This window comes from Homo sapiens, chromosome 16 (genome assembly GCF_000001405.40).
Source record: "Homo sapiens chromosome 16, GRCh38.p14 Primary Assembly".
NCBI lineage: Eukaryota > Metazoa > Chordata > Mammalia > Primates > Hominidae > Homo > Homo sapiens.
Window position 1 is genome coordinate 12,702,073 of NC_000016.10, and position 19,878 is coordinate 12,721,950.

Consider the following 19,878-nt stretch of genomic DNA (forward strand, 5'->3'; position numbering starts at 1 on the left):
TGTAGCTATCAGTCTCTGGGAGCTGGGATAATTGGAGACACAGACCAGCTCTTGGTTTGCCAGCAACTCTGGTTCCTGTGCTTGAGGGGTTGCAGATCTGAGTGGGCAGGGGGCTGGGGCATCATGGATATGATGCCACCCTGTAGGGCCCTTGGTGGGTGGTCAACAGGCTTCTCCCAAGGGTGCCCTGTTAGAGCTCACACCTGTAATTTAAACTCTTCGGGGGGCCAAGGCAGGGGGATCATTTGAGGCCAGGAGTTAAAGCCCAGTGAGGTGCAACACAGTCAGACCCCGTTTCTACAAATAATTAAAAAAATTAGCTGGGCATGGTGGTGTGTGCCTATAGTCCCAGGTTCTCAGAAGGTAGAGGTGGGAAGATTGTTTAAGCCTAGGAGGTCGAGGCTGCAGTGAGCCATGATCACGCCACTGCACGCCAGCCTGGGTGACAAAGCAAGACTCTCAATCAATCAATCAATCAATCAATAGAAAAAATTAGAACTGTGAGTCTTCTCAGTATCTGGGGGTGCTCTGTCCTACAAGGGGAAAACCACAGAACTACATACCACTCAGGAATGTGGTCAACAAGAACAAGAACAAAGAACTCAGGGCAGTCATGGGCTTTACATCATCTAACATTAGATCTGGCCAGCTGCGGTGGCTCACACCTGTAATCCCAGCACTTTGGGAGGCCGAGGTGGGTGGATCACCTGACGTCAGAAGTTTCGAGACCAGCCTGGCCAACATGGTGAAACTAAACCTGGCCAAACTGTCTCTACTAAAAATACAAAAACTAGCTGGACATGGTGATGGGTGCCTGTAATCCCAGGTACTCAGCAGTCTGAGGCAGAAAAATTGCTTTAACCCAGGAGACAGAGGTTGCAGTGAGCCGAGATGGTGCCACTGCACTCCAGCCTGGGTGACAAGAGCGGGACTCCGTCTCAAAAAAAAAAAAAAAAGAAATACCATTGGATATGAAAGGAATCACTTCAATGGCATTAAATGTTCTCTCTGGCTTTATTCTCCACTACAGAATAGTCTCCATGGTGGTGCTCATGCCGCCTTGACGCTTTGTTTCCTTGTCATCAAGACAGTTTTCTGCACCAACTCAAGCATGGCATGAAATTTCAAACGACTTAATAGAAGTTTTCTAACTTTATCTCCATGGAACAGCTGGAAAACATCTCCAATTATGTGAGCTTATTGCAAAATGTCTTGAAAATACAAAATGTTCCGCTGGGTGGGGTGGCTCACACCTGTAATCCCAGCACTGTATTCCCAGATGGGACTAAATCCGTTACTCTCTCCGGATTCTGGAGGAGAACTTAATCCACCTCACCAGAGGAAAACTGATCACGTCCCGTGGCCTTGGGAAGCCAAGGTGGGTGAATCACTTGGGGTCAGGAGTTTGGAACCAGCCTGGACAACATGGTGAAACCCCATCTCTACTAAAAGTACAAAAATTAGCCAGGCGTGGTGGTCAGCGTTTGTAATCCCAGCTACTTGGGAGGCTGAGGCATGAGAATCACTTGAACCTGGGAGGCGGAGGTTGCAGTGAGCCGAGATTTTGCCACTGCACTCCAGCCTGGGCAACAGAACAAGACTTTGTCTCAAAAAAAAAAAAAAAAAAAAAGTAAGCCCTGGTGAAAGGAAGAACGAGGACAAAGAGAAGAGACACAACAGTTGTCAAAACTGGAATTTGCCAAATCACTGGTAACCCAGGGAATCTGCCTAGAACAGACTGTTTCTCTTGAAAGGCCCATGGCAGGTGCTACCAGAAAGATAAAGGAGGTGGGTGGGCTAGTGCCTTAGAGTGCCATCAGAAATTGAGGTGTGACCTCCAGAAATGGAGGGTCTTCATTCTGTGCGTGCACGTGTCTGTCACATATATCACTGGCAGCAAAAGATGGGACTAAATCCGTTACTCTCTCCTGATTCTGGAGGAGAACTTAATCTACCTTGGCAGAGGAAAACTGATCAGGCCCCAGGAACTGTCCGCTAAAGCCACATCCCAGGATTTCCTGAGTCACAGCTGATGAATACTGGAGGGCAGCTTGACTCTTAAAGATCGTCTGCCCTTGAGCAAGGTGCCTGCTTCCCAGAGAAGTGAAAGCAGATGTCCCTGGCATCTTGCCTTCTCCCAAGGCACATGCAAGCCACATTCACACCCACCTGCACTACCCAGTCTACTTCCCCCAATAAACCCCTCCTGCCACTTCCAGAACTCCAATCTTCAACTGTGAGCAGCTATGGCACACTGAGTACTTAGGCTAGGGTCTGTTCTCCATGTCTTGGAGGCCTTTCTCATTTAATCCTTGACACCATCCTGCAATAAGGCTACTATTACTATTCCTGTTTTATAGACGAGGAAACTGAGGCACAGGAGGATTAACTAGCCAGACATGCAGTCTGCAAGTCCAAGAGCTGGTATCAGAACTCCCGGCCTAGTCCTCTCTCCCTTTTTGACACATTGCAGAGAGACGGGAGAAAGATCTGGAAATGCCCTCTCTAGACTTGTCCTTCCTCCCTGAAACCCGTGGCCCGGGGCCTCTACCTGCGTGGATGAACTTGTCTGCCAACTTCTTCCGAGTGGACTTGCTGAGGTTGAAGTAGTAGTCGTCGTCCTCGTCGATGCTCTCCAGGAACAGCGGGATGTGCTGGAAGACGATGGCATGCTGGCAGTGCCGCTGCCTCGCGATGCTCAGCTGCTCGTCCAGCCACTGGTCCTGAGCCTGCTTCAGGCTGGGGCATTTGGAGGGGTTCTCGTAGAACTGGGAGTTGAGGACCAGGAACAGGACGCCCCCGACCCAGAAGCTGAAGTAGTCATCTCCCCAAGTCCGGCAGAACTCCTCGACGGTCTCGGCCGTGGGGGTGTTGCCAATGTCATGGTTGCCGCTGACAAGGACCAGTGGGATGGCCCTGTCCACTGCCCTAAGCACTCGCTTCAGGTCCTCCGTCTGCTCCGTCCGCCACGGCTTCCCTGGAAGAGTGAGGGTCACGTCCTGAGAAAGCCAGGGGCTTATTCACTTGAAATAACTAACTTAAGTACTTACTAACATAAAATTTAAAAAAAGAGTAATCTGGAAATCCACTCCACCTAGCACATGGAAACTGCAAAATGCAGTCACGTGCTAAAAGCAAACCAACAAGTCCGACGGGGGCCTCTGCCCATCCTTCCCCAGGATACCTTAGAAATTCCATGACTACATGGCCCCCTGCCCTATGTTGCTGAGTGATGGTGTGAAGTCAATCCTGAGATTAAATATTAGTGGACTGGGTACAGTGGCTCACACCTGTAATACCAACACTTGGGGAGGCTGAGGTGGGAGGGATCACTTGAGCCCAGGAATTATGAGACAAACCTGGGCACTACAGTGAGACCCTGTCTTCATAAAAAAGAAAATTAGGCTGGGCGTGGTGGCTCATGCCTGTAATCCCAGCACTTAGGGAGGCCGAGGCACGTGGATCACCTGAGGTCAGGAGTTCGAGACCAGCCTGGACAACATGGTGAAACCCCGTCTCTACTAAAAATACAAAAATTAGCTGGGCATGGGCACGGGCACCTGTAATCCCAGCTACTCGGCAGGGTGAGGCAGGAGAATCGCTTGAACTCGGGAGGCAGAGGTTGCAGTAAGCCAAGATCACGCCATTGCACTCCAGCCTGGGCAACAAGAGCGAATCTCTGCCTTAGCCTCCCAAAGTGTTGGGATTACAGGCGTAAGCCACCGCGCCGGGCAGAACATGCGTTCTTTCACTGTTGAATACCAAGTTCCTCATATTTCTACTCAATCAAACTCATTAATGGTGTGGTTCAAATTTTCTGTGTCATTATCCTTTTCTTTCGGCCTGTTGATGTATATTTGTTTCTGAGAGACTTGGTTAAGTTGTCGCTGTAACTGTGGATTGATCTGTCTCTTTCTGTAATTCTGCCAAGGTTCACGTCATTTACTTTTAGTTACATTGTTAGACGTGTAAGAGTTCAGAATTTCAATATCTCACTGCAATAGTTTTATATTTAACCCTAATGAAATAAATAAATATCAAGATAAGAAACAGGCGATCTATATTAATGCTATGAGAAAATCTTTAATATATAGTAAGTTAATAATATAAGGCACAGAGGAATAAAATCACACACAAATTTTTAAAAGCCTCACATGTATTCATGTATTATGGATAAAATGTCCCCCAAGATTCAAAGAAAACTGTTAACTCTGGTTAAATCCAGGAAACAGAAGCAGAGAGGGAGGGAGTCTTACACTTGGTTTAAAACCCTTTATATTAGGTTGGTGCAAAAGTAATTGCAGTTTTTGCCACTGAAAGTAATGACAAAAATTGCAATTACTTTTGCACCAACCTAAATACTTTCTTTCTTTCCCTGCCTCTCTCCCTTCCTTCCTTCCTTCCTTTCCTTTCTCCCTTCCTTTCCTTCCTCCCTTCCTTCTTTCCTTCCTCCCTTTTCCCAAGCTTATGTATAATTTTCACCGAAAAAAAAAAAAAAAAAAAACTCAAAGATTTTGACTCCATGGTTCTGGGGCTTAAAGAAGATTGAGGAAGCCAGCCAGGTGGCTGGAATGAATGTTTGGACTGGCAGCCCCAGGGCCAGCCTGGATCAACTCAGACCAGCCATGAGGCCAATGTGGACTGCAGACAAACCCTAGCACCCCTGGAAGAGAGGACTCTCGGTCCCTGGAGCAGGCACGACCTGCTTCCACAGGAGGCTGAGCAGACTGGGCTTCAGACCCCAACTCCTGCTGCAGGGGTCAGCCAGCCTTTCCCGAGCCCATTCCACTGGTGTCCAGAGGTGAGAGGTGGCTGCACGGCCTGAAGCCTAGTGGAGGGAGCCTTAGGGAGAAGCAGGTTCTGCCTGCACCAGAAACCAGGAGGCCTCTCTCTCAGGGGTGCTGGGGGTTCATTCACCTACCGTCTGCATCGAAGGTGCCATTGATTGACATTGCTTCTTTAGCCGAACCCGGACTGCAGGCATCTGTGCTGACTTACATGATCCTCTCTAAGACTCCAGTGTCTGGTTCTTTTCCCATGCCAGTTTAGGAAAGACAAGTCCTTTGTAGCTTTGAACACAACAAACTCTCTCAAAGCGACCCTTGTGGTCCAAGGCTGATTCATTACCACTTTCCTCACTGGATTTTCTCAAAGACCTCAAAGCCGCCCCTCTCACTTCTTCTTCTTTCTGTTCACACTGACTTGGGGATTTTGGGATATTCAATCACTGACAATACTTCTTAGCACTTCCTACAGGCCAGGCACTGTTCTCAGAGCTGTGTGTGCACCGACTTGCTTCCTCTGGACACCCAGTGGAGGAGTGGGGATTTGAACTTGGTGGTCTGGCTCAAGGTGCTGTCTACAGTGTCCTGGTCACAAACTAAGGTCGTTGCTCTCAGGATGACTTCTCCTGGCTGCCCTGAGACACAGGATGAGGACTTTATAATACACTGGGGTGCAGAGCATCTCCTGTTCTTGATTTTCAAAGTCATTAAGTATGGCCCCTCACATGCTAACTGAGGCAGGTATGGAAAAATGTCCGAATCCCTAATGACCATAAACAGAAAAGTTAAGAAGGGGCAGTTCAAAAGAAAGGCTGACTTGGGAAGGAAACCTTGTCTAGGAAGCAACCAACAAGGAAGAGCTGGGAATTACACACAGTAATGTGATGTGTGTTTCCAAACAAAGAGGGATGCTGCTTTTGGGGAAACCACCAATATCCCCCAGTAATCTGTTAAAAAAAAAACGCAGCTCATCTTCCCTAAATTTCCTTCAGCAAAAATGAGCCTCTTGGCAGGGCGTACTGATGCATGCCTATAATCCCAGCACTTTGGGAGGCCTAGGCGGGCAGACAACTTGAGGTCAAGAGTTCAACACCAACCTGGCCAACATGGTGAAACCCCAACTCTGCTAAAAATAGAAAAATTACCCAGGCATGGTGGCATACACCTGTTGTCCCAGCTACTCGGGAGGCTGAGGCAGGAGAATCGCTTGAACCCGGGAGGCAGAGGTTGCAGTGAGCTGAGACCGTGCCACTGCACTCCAGCCTGGGCAACAGAGTGAGATTCTGTCTCAAAAAAATTATTTATTTATTTATTGTTGGAAAAAAAAAAGATGAGCCTCTTTCTTGTGTAGCTTTTCCAACACTTTCTATACCTCTTGCATGGAGTCACAGGTGCTGAGGTGGAGTGAGTGTGCCCTGGGGTTGGTCTCTTGCCCCTTACAAGCTGCATGGCCTTAGGTAAGTCCCTTGGTTCCTCTGAGTCTTGGTTTCATCGTGTATGAAATGGGGATGATAATTCCCATACCTCAGGAATGGCTGTAAGAATTCCTACTAAGATAATGATGTCTAGAGTCTGGTACAAACAAGAATGCAAAGCTGTCAGCTGTCTGCTTTCCACATCCCATCCCCCTAAATGTAATAAATTCTTCCATTTTTATCAGCGACCCACTGTGTGTGCATAACAACCAGTAAATCGTTTCAGAAGGAATGAAAATCTTCCCCAGGGACAGAAATAGTTTTTAGTTAAGAATCTGGAAATAAAAGAGTAAATCCTAGATTACAAAAACCCAAGTTGAATGCCAACATTTGCATGATCTTTAACAAGCTCTCATTTGCATGTAACAGAATCTCTGTAGGGTTACGTACTATATTAACAACAACTTAGTATTAACAAAGATCATAGCACAACTTAGCAGAGCTTCCTGAAAAATAGTCCCATTGTGGCTGGGTGCAGTGGCTCATGCCTGTACTCCCAGGACTTTGGGAGGCTGAGGCAGGAGGATCATTTGAGGTCAGGAGTTTGAGACCAGCCTGGCTAACATGACAAAACCCCATCTCTACTAAAAATACAAAAATTAGCTGGGCATGGTGGCATGGGCCTGTAATCCCAGCTACTCAGGAGGCTGAGACAGGAGAATTGCTTGAACCCGGGAGGCAGAGGTTGCAGTGAGCCAATATCGCACTATTGCATTCCAGCCTGGGTGACAAGAGCAAAACTCTGTCTCAAAAATGTCCCATTATATATGAGAACCCAAAGCCCAAAGCCAACCTCACCAGCATCATGAACAGAAAAAACAGAAACCTGCCCAAGGACACAGAGCTTCAATGAGTTTCCTGTCTCACGCAGGGTTCTATGTTCACAAAAAGAATGTATATAAAGGACAGGAAGAAAGGCAGGGAAACAAGGGGAAAGACTCTGAAAAATGGCAAGACATGACTCAGAAGAGGGGCAGAGAAGGATTGTTCTGGGGTCTCCAAGGTGGATAAGAGGTATCTGCTGAGAAGTGGGTGCCAAGAGTACAGGGACCCCAATGTCAGCACACACCTGACCCCCACGGAGAGGAGCCCTGGGTGGGAATGGCGAGAGCAGTGTAGAAAGCTGCAAAGCGTTTAAAACACTTAAAAAAATTTTAATGCAATTGGTCAAAATAAAACTAGGAGGTAAAAAGCATGATAACGATAATTACAAAATTCTTATTTGTATCAGTGGTACTGTGAGAGGTATGATTTATTTTTGTCCATATTCATTAAGGCAGACATTAGTATCTTGGTTGTTTTCCAAATAGCCTTAAAATACATTGTCTAATAAAATCTCTTTGTGAGTTAGGAAGAGAAATAAACATCCTTAACTGGATAAAGGACATCTGTAAACAAGTATAGCTATGATCATAGGTAATGGTGAAAGACTGACTGCCTTCCTCCAAGATCAGGAACAAGACAAGGAAGTCTGCTCTCACACTCTCACTGAACATCATACTAGAAATCCTAGCCAGTGCAATAGGCAGGCAGGCAGGCAGTCAGGGAAGGAAGGGAAGGAAGGGAAAGACGGGGGGAAGGAAGGGAAGGAAGGGAAGGAAGGGAAGGAAGGGAGGAAGGAAAGAAGGGAAGGAAGGCAAGGAAGGAAGGAAGGGAAGAGAAGAGAAGGAAGGAAGGGAAGGAAGGGAGGGAAGGAAAGGAAAGGGCATACAGATTAGAAAGAAAGAAATCAGTCAATTCTCAGAAGACTGTCTCCACAGAAAATCCCAAATAATCTACAAAAAACAAAAGAACAAAACATCAAAGACTCTTAGCACTAATAAGAGAAATTAGCTTGGATGCAAAGTAAATATATAAAAATCAACAGTATTTCTACATCCTAACATAATATAAAAATTAGAGGTTTAACAAGAAGGATTTAAGAGATATTTGGGAGGTAGAACTGACAGGAATCCTCATTGTACTGGTTACAGGAAGGACTCAAAATTAATTCCCAGACATCTGAGCAACTGGGAGGCTGGTCATGTTGTTTACTGTCAGGGAAAAGACTAGGAGAGAAATAGGTTACAGGTAGAAATCAAAAGGTCATTTTGAATATAAAATTTGATGTATTGTTACAGGCCAAAAAAAAAAAAAGGAGGGGGGGAACAGACAAATTGGACCTCATGAAAATGCAAAACGTTTGTGCATCAAAAGACACTATCAACAGAGAAAAAAGTGCAAACCACAGAATGGGAGAAAATATTCTCAAATTAAATATCTGATAGGGAATGAATATCAGAGTATATGGAGAACTCCTAAAACTCAACAACCACTAAAACAACCTAACTCAAAAGTTGGCAAAGGATTGAACAGACATTTCTCCAAAGAGGATATATAAATGGCCAATAAGGACATTAAAAAGGTGCCCAACACGACTACTTATTAAAGAAATGCAAATCAAAACCACAATGAGACGCCACTTCATACCCATGAGGATAGCTACTATCAAAGAGACAGAAAATAACAGGTATTGGTGAGGATGTGGAGAAAATGGAAACCTGGTGCATTGTTGATGGGAATGAAAAATGGTGTAGCCACTGTGGAAAACAATATGGTGGCTCCCCCAAAAATTAAACGTAGGATTACCAGATAATCCAACAATTCTATATCTGAGTCCCCAAAATAACTGAAAGCAGGGTCTCAAAGAGATGTTTGTACACCTATGCTCACAGTAGCATTATTCACAATAGCTTAAACATGGAAGCAACCCAAATATCCACTGACAGATGAATGGATAAGCGAACTGTGGTATATCCATACAACGAAATATTATTCAACCATAATAAAGAAGGGAATTCTGACACATGCTACAACATGGATGAACCTTTAGGATATATGCTAAGTGAAATAAGTCATGCAGAAAAAACAAATACTGTTTGATGTCACTTATATGAGGCACTTAGAGTGGTCAAATTCAGAGGCAGAAAGTAGAATGGTGGTTGCCAGGACTTTCAGGAGGGAAGGATGGTGAGTTATTGTTTAATGGGCACAGAGTTTCCATTTTGCAAGATAAAAAGAGCCATGGAGACAGATGGTGATGATGGTTGCACAACAAATAGGAATATACTTCATGCCACTGAACGGTACACTTAAAATGGTTAAGGTGGTACATGTAACGTTACGTATATTCTGCCATGCTAAAAGAAAAGAGAAGAAACCACCAAAGTTATCAATATACTCATGATCCCTCCAGGTTGGGCTGTTGAGAGGGCAGCTGGGTCTAGGAGTCTGGAGTTCAGTGGAGGGTGGGGCTGGAAGCAGACACATTCACCATCATTCTAATAGGAGCCCCCATGATGGTGCCCTTGGGGTTGGCTTTTCAAGGGGATCCATAAGTGGGCTCCAGATTCAGAGGACCTGAGGTTGCTCTTTATTAGGGGTGTCCTCTGGGGATGTTGCCCTCTGAGCCTGTCTTCTAGACCCTAAAATGAAAATATTATCACCTCCTTTATGGAAATTCTGTGAGATAAATGAGATCATGTATTTAAAGTGTCCAGTATGTAGTATGTGCATACCTTCCTTTCCCCTCTTTCTAACAGCCCCCTACCCAGGGAAGAGACAGGGGAGGAGGGAGGCAGGTCTCAGGTGTTCAGAGATCTCCCTCCCATTTTCCTCATTCTCAGGGAGCTTAGCCCCCAGTGCCGCTGCTACTGTCCCTGAGAAATGCAGGAAAGAACACACATGTCTGCATGTTGACATCCTAGCCCAGAGCTCACGTTTACCTGACAACTCGTTTACTGTGGTGCCTGGAGGCCACACCTGTCCTGCAGACAGATGGATACATGGATGAGACAGTGCTTAGGCCCTTGCACAGAAAGGGAAGCATGCCAAGGACAAGAATTTCCAGAGACAGCCCTAAGAGGTCCCTGGAAACAGAGTCGATGGGGCTCCGTCCCTACCTGCAGGTTGGAAACGGAATAGTCAAGCCAGGGCATCAACTATATGGTTAAGATCATAGCTCAGTAATTAAAACTCCTTTCAGGGGGCAAGTAGAACTCCTTTCAGGGGGGAATTGGAAATATCCATTTAAACTTTAATAACTTCATGATATTGAGTGAGCCAGCAGTTCCATTTATCAGCCTTTATCCTACAGACACATACACAAGTGTGCAAAACATAACTATTCCTTGTAGCAACAATTGAGAAGATATAAACATTTAAATTGGCTTAAATGTTTATTAATAAGGAATAGATAATATGTATAGAGTAATAAACAGGCATCACAAAGAATGAAGGAGATCCGAATTTAGTGGCCACGGATATATAGAAAAGGTGCACTGTTAAGGTTTGGGGAGCAAGGGTTGGCTGGCAGTGGGGGACAGTAAGTGAAAACAGGAAGTTATTAGAGCTAGTAGTACGACACAATTTTATTAAAAATAAATCTACGAGTTGGTATATTCAGAGATAAAAATATCTAGAAAAACATGGCAAAACTGTTAATAGTACCTGTCTGTGGGGAAGTGGAAGGACAGAAAACATTTCAGTTTCCTGAAAAACTTAATTTTTTATGAGCATAAGTTACTTTCATTATAGAAAAATAATCAAGACATTAAAAAATCACAGATGCACTAAAATTAGATCTTGTTAAGTAAACAAGTATACATTTAAATAAAATGGGAACAAATGTAAAACAAGTGACAAGGCCAATTGTGTAAGTACTGTTCTTTACTCTCAGAAAGAGAGAAAATGGGGAAAAGAGAGTACCAGAAAGGTATTTCGAAATAAGTTCTTAAAAAAAAAAATCGCAGTGGGTAAATTCAATTTAAAAAAATGTATAAAAAATTGTGCTCAGGACGAATTGTGTTCTTTCTGAATCTGAATAATTACATTTTCAAAAAGAGAGTTTTCTTCTAGAGCAGATGACTTTAAACGTCAACACCTAGTGAGTATCAGAGGCAGCACAATGTCTCTGCTACTATTTTGATATCTGAATGAAATAGCATCAAAGGAGAAGGTGGTTGTCCTGGTCTTTTAAATCTAGTTTCTTCTTTTTTATTTTTTATTTTTTTTGAGATGGAGTCTCGCTCTGTCACGCAGGCTGGAGTGCAGTGGCGCAATCTCGGCTTGCTGCAATCTCTGCCTCCTGGGTTCATGCGATTCTCCTGCCTCAACCTCCTGAGTAGCTGGGATTACAGGCATGTGCCACAACACCCAGCCAATTTTTGTACTTTTAGTAGAGACGGGGTTTCATCATACTGGCCAGTCTTGAACTCCTGATCTCAGGTGATCTGCCTGCCTCAGCCTCTTAAAGTGCTAGAATTACAGGTGTGAGCCACCACACCTGGCTATAAATCTCGTTTCTTCAATCTTACTAAAATATGATATGTGTTTCTCAATTTTTTTTTCATTATTGCTGCCCCCAGGAGACCCAAAATTAGACTTTTTCCTAATCTCCCCTCCACTAATAACAGCTTGAGATATAAATACACAAACAATATAATTCATCCTCTGAAGGTATGTTTTTAGAATATTCAAAGAGTTGTGGACTGTCATGAAAATCAATTGTGGGACATTCTCACCACCCCAAAATGAACTTTCACCCATTAGCAGCCCTTCCCCATTGCCCCCCAACTCCCACCACCCTAATTCTAAGCAATCACTAATCTACCTTCTATAGATTTCTCCACTCCAGGCATTTCATAGAAATAGAATCATATAAAATGTAGGCTTTTGTTACTGATCTTTCACTTTGCATGATGTTTTCAAGGTTCATCTATTTTGTAGCCTATGTTAGTGCTTCATTCTTTAATTGCTGAATACTATTCTACTGTATGAATATATCATCATATTTTGTTTATCCATTCATCTACTGATGGACGTTTGGGTTGTTTCTACTTTCTGGCTATTATGAATTATGCTGCTATAAAAATCCACGTGCAAGTTTTTCACATGTGAAAAGATGTGTGGATATCTTTCATCTCTCTTGAGTGTATACCTAGGAGTGAAACTCTGAGTTACATGGTAACTATATGTGTTTACTTCTTTAAGAAGCTAGCAGACTGTCTTCCAAAGCACCATCCTACATTCCTACCAGCAATGTATGAGGGTCCCAATGTTTCCACATCCTCAACACTTGTTATTTTTCACCCTTTTAATTGTAGCCATCTTAGTAGGTGTGAGGTAAAATTTCATTGTGGTTTCTATTTGCATTTACATAATGACTAATGATGCTAAACATTTGTTGTTGTGCTTACTGGCAATTTTTATATCTTCTTTGGAGAAATGTCTATTCAGATACTTTGCCCATTTTTCAGTTGGGTTATTTGTCTTTTCATTATTAATATTTAGTTGTAAGAGTTCTTTACATATTATGAATACCAGATCTTTATCAGATACAGGATTTGCAAGTATTCCCTCCCATTTGGTGGGCTGTCTTTTCACTTTTTTGATAATGTCCTTTGAGGTACAAAATATTCAAGTTTCATAAAGTCCAATTTATCTATTTTCTGTTTTGTCACCTGTGCTTTTAGCGTTATATCTAAGAAATCACTTTCCAATAGAGGATCACAAAGATTTCTGCCTATGCTTTCTTCTAACAGTTTTCTAGTTTTAGCTCTTCTTTGGGCTTTGATCCATTTTGAGTTCATTTTTTTTTTTAATATGGTGTGAGGTAGGGGTCCAAATTCACTCTTTTGCATGTGGATATCCAGATGTCCCTGCACCATTTGTTGAAAAGACTACCCTTTCCCCATTGAATTGTCTTGGCGCCCTTGTCAAAAATCCATTGACCCTAAATGTGAGGATTTCTGGATTCTCAATTCTAATCCATTAATCTCTATGTTTATCTTCATGCCAGTACCATAGTGTTTTGATGACTGCAGGCTTCTAGTAAGTTTGAAATCAGAAACTGTGAGTCTTCCAACTTTATTCTTCCTTTTCAAGGTTGTTTTCGCTATTCTGGGCCCACATAATTTTCATATAAAATTTAGGATCAGCTTGTGGTAACTGTGTAATCAAGGAGAAATAAGATCAAGGTCCAACACTTAAGCAGCTTATAGCTTTTAGGCTGGGTGTGGAGGCTCACGTCTGTAATCCCAGCACTCTGGGAGGCTGAGGTGGGCAGATCACTTGAGGTCAAGAGTTCGAGACTAGCCTGGCCAACATGTTGAAACCCCATCTCTACTAAAAGTACAAAAATTAGGCAGGCATGGTGGCACACATCTGTAACCCCAGCTACTCGGGAGGCTGAGGCAGGAAAATTGCTTGAACTGGGGAGGTGGAGGTTGCAGTGAGCTAAGATCATGCCACTGCACTCCAGCCTGAGCAACAGAGCGAGACTCCATCTCAAACAAACAAAAAAAGCTAAGCTATCTTCCAGATAATTTTGTACTTTTAGTAGAGACGGAGTTTCTCCATGTTGGTCAGGCTGGTCTCGAACCCCCGACCTCAGGTGATCCTCCAGCTTCACCGTCCCAAAGTGCCGGGATTACAGGCATGAGCCACCACTCTCAGCCCCAATGGGATGGTTTTAAGGAAGCTTGTCCAACCTGCAGCCCGTATGCAGCCCAGGATGGCTCTGAATGTATTTTATGTGTGGCCCAAGACAATTCTTCTTGTAAAGTGGCCCAGGGAAGCCAAAAGACTGGACACCCCTGGTTTAGAGGGAAGAGAGTAGAGGGAGAAGGGTTGGCAAGGTAGTGATTTTATGGTTTTTAGCCAAGAAGTAACATGGACTGAACAGAACTATGATACCGGGCACAGAAAAGAAGACAACCATCTACATATGTGTAAGCTTTATTCTGCTTAAATGAAAAACCATGAAAGAGAAAAATATGTAATTGTGAATGTCACTGGACATGTTACTTCTGGTCAAGGTCTTCCATAAATTATTTTTCCTCCAAAGTGATCACCTCTCCTGTATTTACCTTCTTTAGCGCTAACGCTGGTGCTGCTATAAGGTATGTACACACTTAATCATAGAATATTCCATTTAACAAATTGCTTCTGGGCACTTGGTACACATGAGGCATTGCTCAAGGCTAATGATGCACAATGTGATATCCAGGGACGAAGAAGTTCCAGGACAATTACATGCAGATTCACTACTGCCAAGTCCCTTCGCTGGAAGGAAAGAGCACAATTCATTTCTGTTTAGAGATTCTGGGGTGTCAGATCCACGAACAAGTCTTATTTAGAATGACTGCCTTTTTTTACTTTAAGATTCCATGCTACAGTCTGAACTCAGGTGTTTGTGGCTACGCCCCTAAAACTTCAGTCCTATTTGGGATTTTAAATACGCAACCTAATGAAAAGTCAATTAAGAGTTTTACAGTTAAACTCCATATATAGATACTGCTCTTTCAAAGCCAGAGGCAGAATCTGAGCAGGCTTAGTCATTACAGGGCTAGAAACATAAAAATTATTTGTCTTCAGGTAGGCATTTATTCAATGCACCCCTGCTACCCACTGTGTGCTAGGTAACAGCATGACTGAGACAGTGTCTTTGTTCTCAATGGCCCAAGTTCTAGGGAGGGGCCCAGACATGGGAACAGGCAATGACCTTGTGGTGTTGCATGAGTTATGAAGTTACGACACGGAAGCACTGGGTGCCGTGGAAGCTCAGGGTGGGGGTAACTAAGCCAGTTGGGAGGCACCCCAGAGCTTTCCCAGAAGAAGCAACATTCCCACCAAACATCACAGGGCTTAGGTGGAACTAGGGCCTGCTGAACAGGGGGAAAGAAGGTGGGGAGGGGGCTTTCCTAACCAAAGGTAATAGTAGGGTGAGGGTGGAGAGGTTTAAAAAAAAGACCAGGGAGCCTTTTGGAAAGTGGGGCAGTAAAGAGTAAACAAATCAGAGTAATAAAAAGAACTTGGGTTTCTGAAGCACCAACTATGTACCAGGCTAAGTACTCTACACAGATTATCTCATCTGAATCTATAAGAATCCTATTGGGATCTTTTTTTCTTTGAGGCGGAGTCTCGCTTTGTCGCCCAGGCTGGAGTGCAGCGGCGCCATCTCGGCTCACTGCAAGCTGCGCCTCCCAGGTTCGCGCCATTCTCCTGCCTCAGTCTCCCGAGTAGCTGGGACTACAGGCGCCCGCCACTGCGCCTGGCTAATTTTTTTGTATTTTTAGTACAGACAGGGTTTCACCGTGTTAGCCAGGATGGTCTCAATCTCCTGACCTCGTGACCTGCCTGCTTCGGCCTCCCAAAGTGCTAGGATTACAGGCGTGAGCCACCGTGCCCGGCTGGGATCATTTTTTAGTGTAACTATATTCCAGGCAATACTTGTGTTGAAATAGAGACAGACAGACACACACACACATAATAATAATTATTATTTTTGAGACAGAGTCTCGCTCTGTTGCACAGGCGGGAGTACAGAGGCACAAATCTTGGCTCCCTACAACCTCCACCTCCTGGGTTCAAGTGATTCTCTTGCCTCAGCCTCCCAAGTAGCTGGGATTACAGGAGCCTGTCACCATGCCCAGCTAATTTTTGTACTTTTAGTAGAGGCAGGGTTTCACCATGTTGGCCAGGCTAGTCTCGAACTCCTGACCTCAAGTGATCTGCTCACCTCCGCCTCTCAAAGTGCTGTGATTACAGGCGTGAGCCACTGCACCCGACTTGTTCCTATATTTTTCTTATCAAATTTACCCTTCGTAAACTCAAGTCCCATCTGGGTTAACCCAGTCTGACTCCAGAGCTGGTGTTTTCAGCTAAGAATGGGAAAGACTACACTGTCTCCTGGTCAGCACCACCAGTAGATACAGCAAGAACTCTGTCAGGGGAAGAGAAGAGAGCTACAGTTAGCTCCATGAATTTCAATGTTGAGATACAAGATTATGACTTCAGGTCCAATCCCTTAAGCAGTGAGTCAGCTTGGCCACGTTTTTCTTGATGTGATATCTATCACACTGGCAACAATCAAAAACTGTAGATTGGCCAGGCGCAGTGGCTTATGTCTGTAATCCTAGCACTTTGGCAGGCCAAGGCGGGCGGATCATTTGAGGTCAGGAGTTCGAGACCAGCTTGGCCAACATGGTGAAACCTTGTCTCTATTAAAAATACAAAAACTAGCTGGGCCTGGTGGCAGGTGCCTATAGTCCCAGCTACTTGAGAGGCTGAGGCTGGAGGATCACTTGAACCTGGGAGGCCGAGGTTGTAGTGAGCCGAAATTGTGCCACTGCATTGCAGCCTGGGTGACAGAGCAAGACTCTGTCTTAAAAAAAAAAAAAAAAAAAGAAAGAAAAAAAAGGTGTTGATAATACGATTTGTTGGTGAGAGCATGGGGATACAGGGATTCTCTTATATGGCTGGCTGGGATGTAAATGGTTTCTTTTATTCAAATCTGAAAATGCACATTCAGCTGGGAGCGGTGGCTCACGCCTGTAATTCCAACACCTTGGGAGGCTGAGGTGGGCAGATCACTTGAGGTCAGGAGTTCAAGACCAGCCTGGCCAATATGGTGAAACCCTGTCTCTACTAAAAATACAAAAAATAGCTGGGCGTAGTGGCATGCACCAATAATAGCAGCTATTTGGTAGGCTGAGGCAGGAGAATCATTTGAACCCAGGAGGGGTAGGTTGCAGTGAGCTGAGATCCTTCCACTGCACTCCAGCCTGGGTGGCAGCGCAAGATTCTTAAGCAAAAAAGTTTCACGGGCTAATAGTTTCATGTGGCTGGGGAGGCCTCACAATCATGGCAGAAGGTGAAAGGCATGTCTTACATGGCGGCAGGCAAGGGAGAATGAGAACCAAGAGAAAAGGGAAAAACCCCTTATAAAACCATCAGATCTCCTGAGACTTATTCACTACCATAAGAACAGTATGGACTGGGAGGCTGAGGTGGGCGGATCACAAGGTCAGGAGATCGAGACCATCCTGGCTAACACGGTGAAACCCCGACTCTACTAAAAACACAAAAAATTAGCCAGGTGCGGTGGCGGGCGCCTGTAGTCCCAGCTACTCGGGAAGCTGAGGCAGGAGAATGGCGTGAACCCAGGAGGCGGAGCTTGCAGTGAGCCGAGATAGCGCCACTGCATGCTGGCCTGGGCGAAAGAGCGAGACTGCGTCTCAAAAAAAAAAAAAAAAGAACAGTATGGAGGAAACCGCCCCCATGATTCAATTATGTCCACCTAGCACCACCTCCTTGACACGTGGGGATTATGCAAATATGCCTAGAAATGTCTCTTGGAAAGATACCCAAGAAACTGGATGTGGTCTCCAGGAGCGAAGACGGAAAGATTGACTTACCATGTCCTTATATACCTTACCTATATATAGGATTTGATTTTTCCCTCCATACGCACAAATGACCTTAAAAATTAAACACCTTTAGGCCAGGCGCGGTCACTCACGCCTGTAATCCCAGCACTTTGGAAGGCCAAGGCATGTGGATCACCTGAGATCAGGAGTTCAAGACCAGCCTGGCCAACACGGCAAAAGCCTGTCTCTACTAAAAATACAAAAATTAGCCGGGCGTGGTGGCACAGTCCTGTAAGTCCCAGCTACTCTGGAGGGTGAGGCAGGAGAATTGCTTGAACCCAGGAGGCAGAGGTTGCAGTGAGCTGAGATCATGCCACTGTACTCCAGCCTAGGCGACAAGAGCAAAACTCCATCACAGAAAAAAAAAAAATTTAAACACCTATATAAATACGTGTACGTTAATTATATGTCCATTACACTATGTGCACACACACACACACATACACACACACCTATCTGTTTTTATCAGGCCATTATTAAAACTGAACAAAACTGGATGACTTCATATAGTTCTGGACAGGCCTAGACAGGAGAGCACAGATGCCTTCACACCGATCCTGTCTTCCCGAGAGAGATACGCTCTTGGTTTGGTGAGTGTGTGGCAATGGTTTTCTCCCCAGGAGATGGCACCCCAGATAAATCAATCAGAGCAGTGTGGGACCAGGCCTTTTTCAGCCTTGGAGAAAGAAGCCTTTGCCCTAAAAATACAAAAGTGTCAGCTTCTCTTCTGTGTTCTTTGTAGCTGTACCTGAAACCAAGCACCTGTTTGTGACTTGGCTTCAGTTACTAGCAAGCTTTTCCTAAAGAGGTGTTCAAATCCCGCACACCAAAGGATTTGTGCTTCAGTGAAGGAAACTTCTTGTTTTCTGTACCTTTACCTTTGATATTAACAAAGTGTTTTATTATTTTATTTATTATTTATTTTGAGACTGAGTCTTGCTCTATTGCCCAGGCTGGAGTGCACTGGCGCAATCTTGGCTCACTGAAACCTCTGCCTCCTGGATTCAAGCGATTCTCCTGACTCAGCCTCCTGAGTATCTGGTACTACAGGTGTGCACCACCACACTTGGCTAATTTTTGTATTTTTAGTGGAGACAGGGTTTCACCATGTTGGCCAGGCTGGTTGACCTCAGGTGATCTGCCCGTCTTGGCCTTCAAAAGTGCTGGGATTACAGGCGTGCGCCATCGTGCCCAGCCCAAACTGTTTTATTTTATACAAATTCTGTGCAAAGCTTAGTTTACAGCTCAACACAAATAAACAAAATTATATGTTATTAGGATAAAAATCCCATGCCCAATTCATTTATCCCTCAGTTAAACTGTTTTGGCATGGGGGACTAAAAGTAAACAAGATTTGGAATGTCCCTAGGATGGCTATGAATGGCATGTTGCCATAGTATTTCAGAAGCCACTGGTAAAGCCCTAGATGGATAGGATGAGCTCTTGGCCACAAAGCTTTTCTTAGGATTTTAATATACTACAATTTATCGTTTACTGGGAACCCAGGTGGAGTGACTTCATTTCCAAGAACATAGGTGTCCACGTTACCACGATTATTTTTTTCAGATTAAGGCTCTATCTTCTGAAGGGAAAATGACCACTATGCTTCACTGAAAGTCCATCTCAATCAGAAAGACAGGCAGATACCACGGAAACTTAGTACTTACCTGCCAAGCCCAAGACATCAAGATGATACACATTTTGTGTTTCTCTCTGAGGGTAAAAGAAGAAGGAAACTGCTGCAAAGTACCAAGGAATATAACCCGGTTATAAAACAGACAGAACGAGAAACAAATGGCAAACCCAAGTGTTGACCTTCCCATTCAACCAGACCACCCCTCTGCTTGCTGGAACTAGGAGTAGAGAAAAAATACAAAAAAAGGAGGCCGGGGCTGGGCAGGATGGCTTACGCCTGTAATGCCAGCACTTTGGGAGGCTGAGGCAGGCGCATCTCCTGAGGTCAGGAGTTCCAGACCAGCCTGACCAACATGGTGAAACCTCGTCCCTACTAAAAATAAAAAAATTAGCCGGGCATGGTAGCGGGCACCTGTAGTCCCAGCTACTTGTGAGGCTGTGGCGGGAGAATCCACTTGAACCTGGGAGACGAAGGTTGCAGTGAGCCAAGATCACACCACTGCACTCTAGCCTGGGTGACAGAGCAAGATTCCGTCTTAAAAAAAAAAAAAAGGCAAAATAAATAAATAAATAAATAACAACCAGACCATCCCAGCCAGCAATATGCAGAGCTGCTAAGATTCTACTAGCAAATAATTTTTAAAAACCAACCACCTCTGAGACCTTCAAAATATTTTCTCTCCGCTATGGAGGTTGTCTAAATAACAGATTCTGTGAATAGACTTCAACTGTGTT

At 44.4% G+C, this 19,878-nt stretch overlaps 1 protein-coding gene and 1 non-coding gene across 3 annotated transcripts in view, besides 1 other annotated feature; one reads left to right on the forward strand and one right to left on the reverse strand.

The window, feature by feature from the left end:
• CPPED1 (calcineurin like phosphoesterase domain containing 1) overlaps positions 1–19,878 on the reverse strand; it is a 144,089-nt gene that overhangs the window by 42,274 nt on the left and 81,937 nt on the right. Inside the window, exon 3 of one of the 2 annotated variants that reach the window (NM_018340.3) lies at positions 2,552–2,977. The exons of the other annotated variant lie outside the window; for it this stretch is intronic. Coding sequence (NP_060810.2) covers positions 2,552–2,977 — 426 coding nt within the window. The remainder of the gene's footprint in view (positions 1–2,551; positions 2,978–19,878) is intronic. 2 annotated transcript variants of the gene reach the window in all.
• Positions 14,640–14,934: an enhancer, noted in NCBI's record as "tiled region #10358; K562 Activating non-DNase unmatched - State 16:ElonW". NCBI's record gives its function as "activates a minimal TATA promoter and a strong SV40 promoter by Sharpr-MPRA in K562 cells {active_cell/tissue: K562}" and the evidence as "EXISTENCE:reporter gene assay evidence [ECO:0000049][PMID:27701403]".
• MIR4718 (microRNA 4718) lies at positions 18,249–18,299 on the forward strand. The gene has a single exon (NR_039869.1). It is a non-coding gene; the product is annotated as a microRNA 4718 (primary transcript).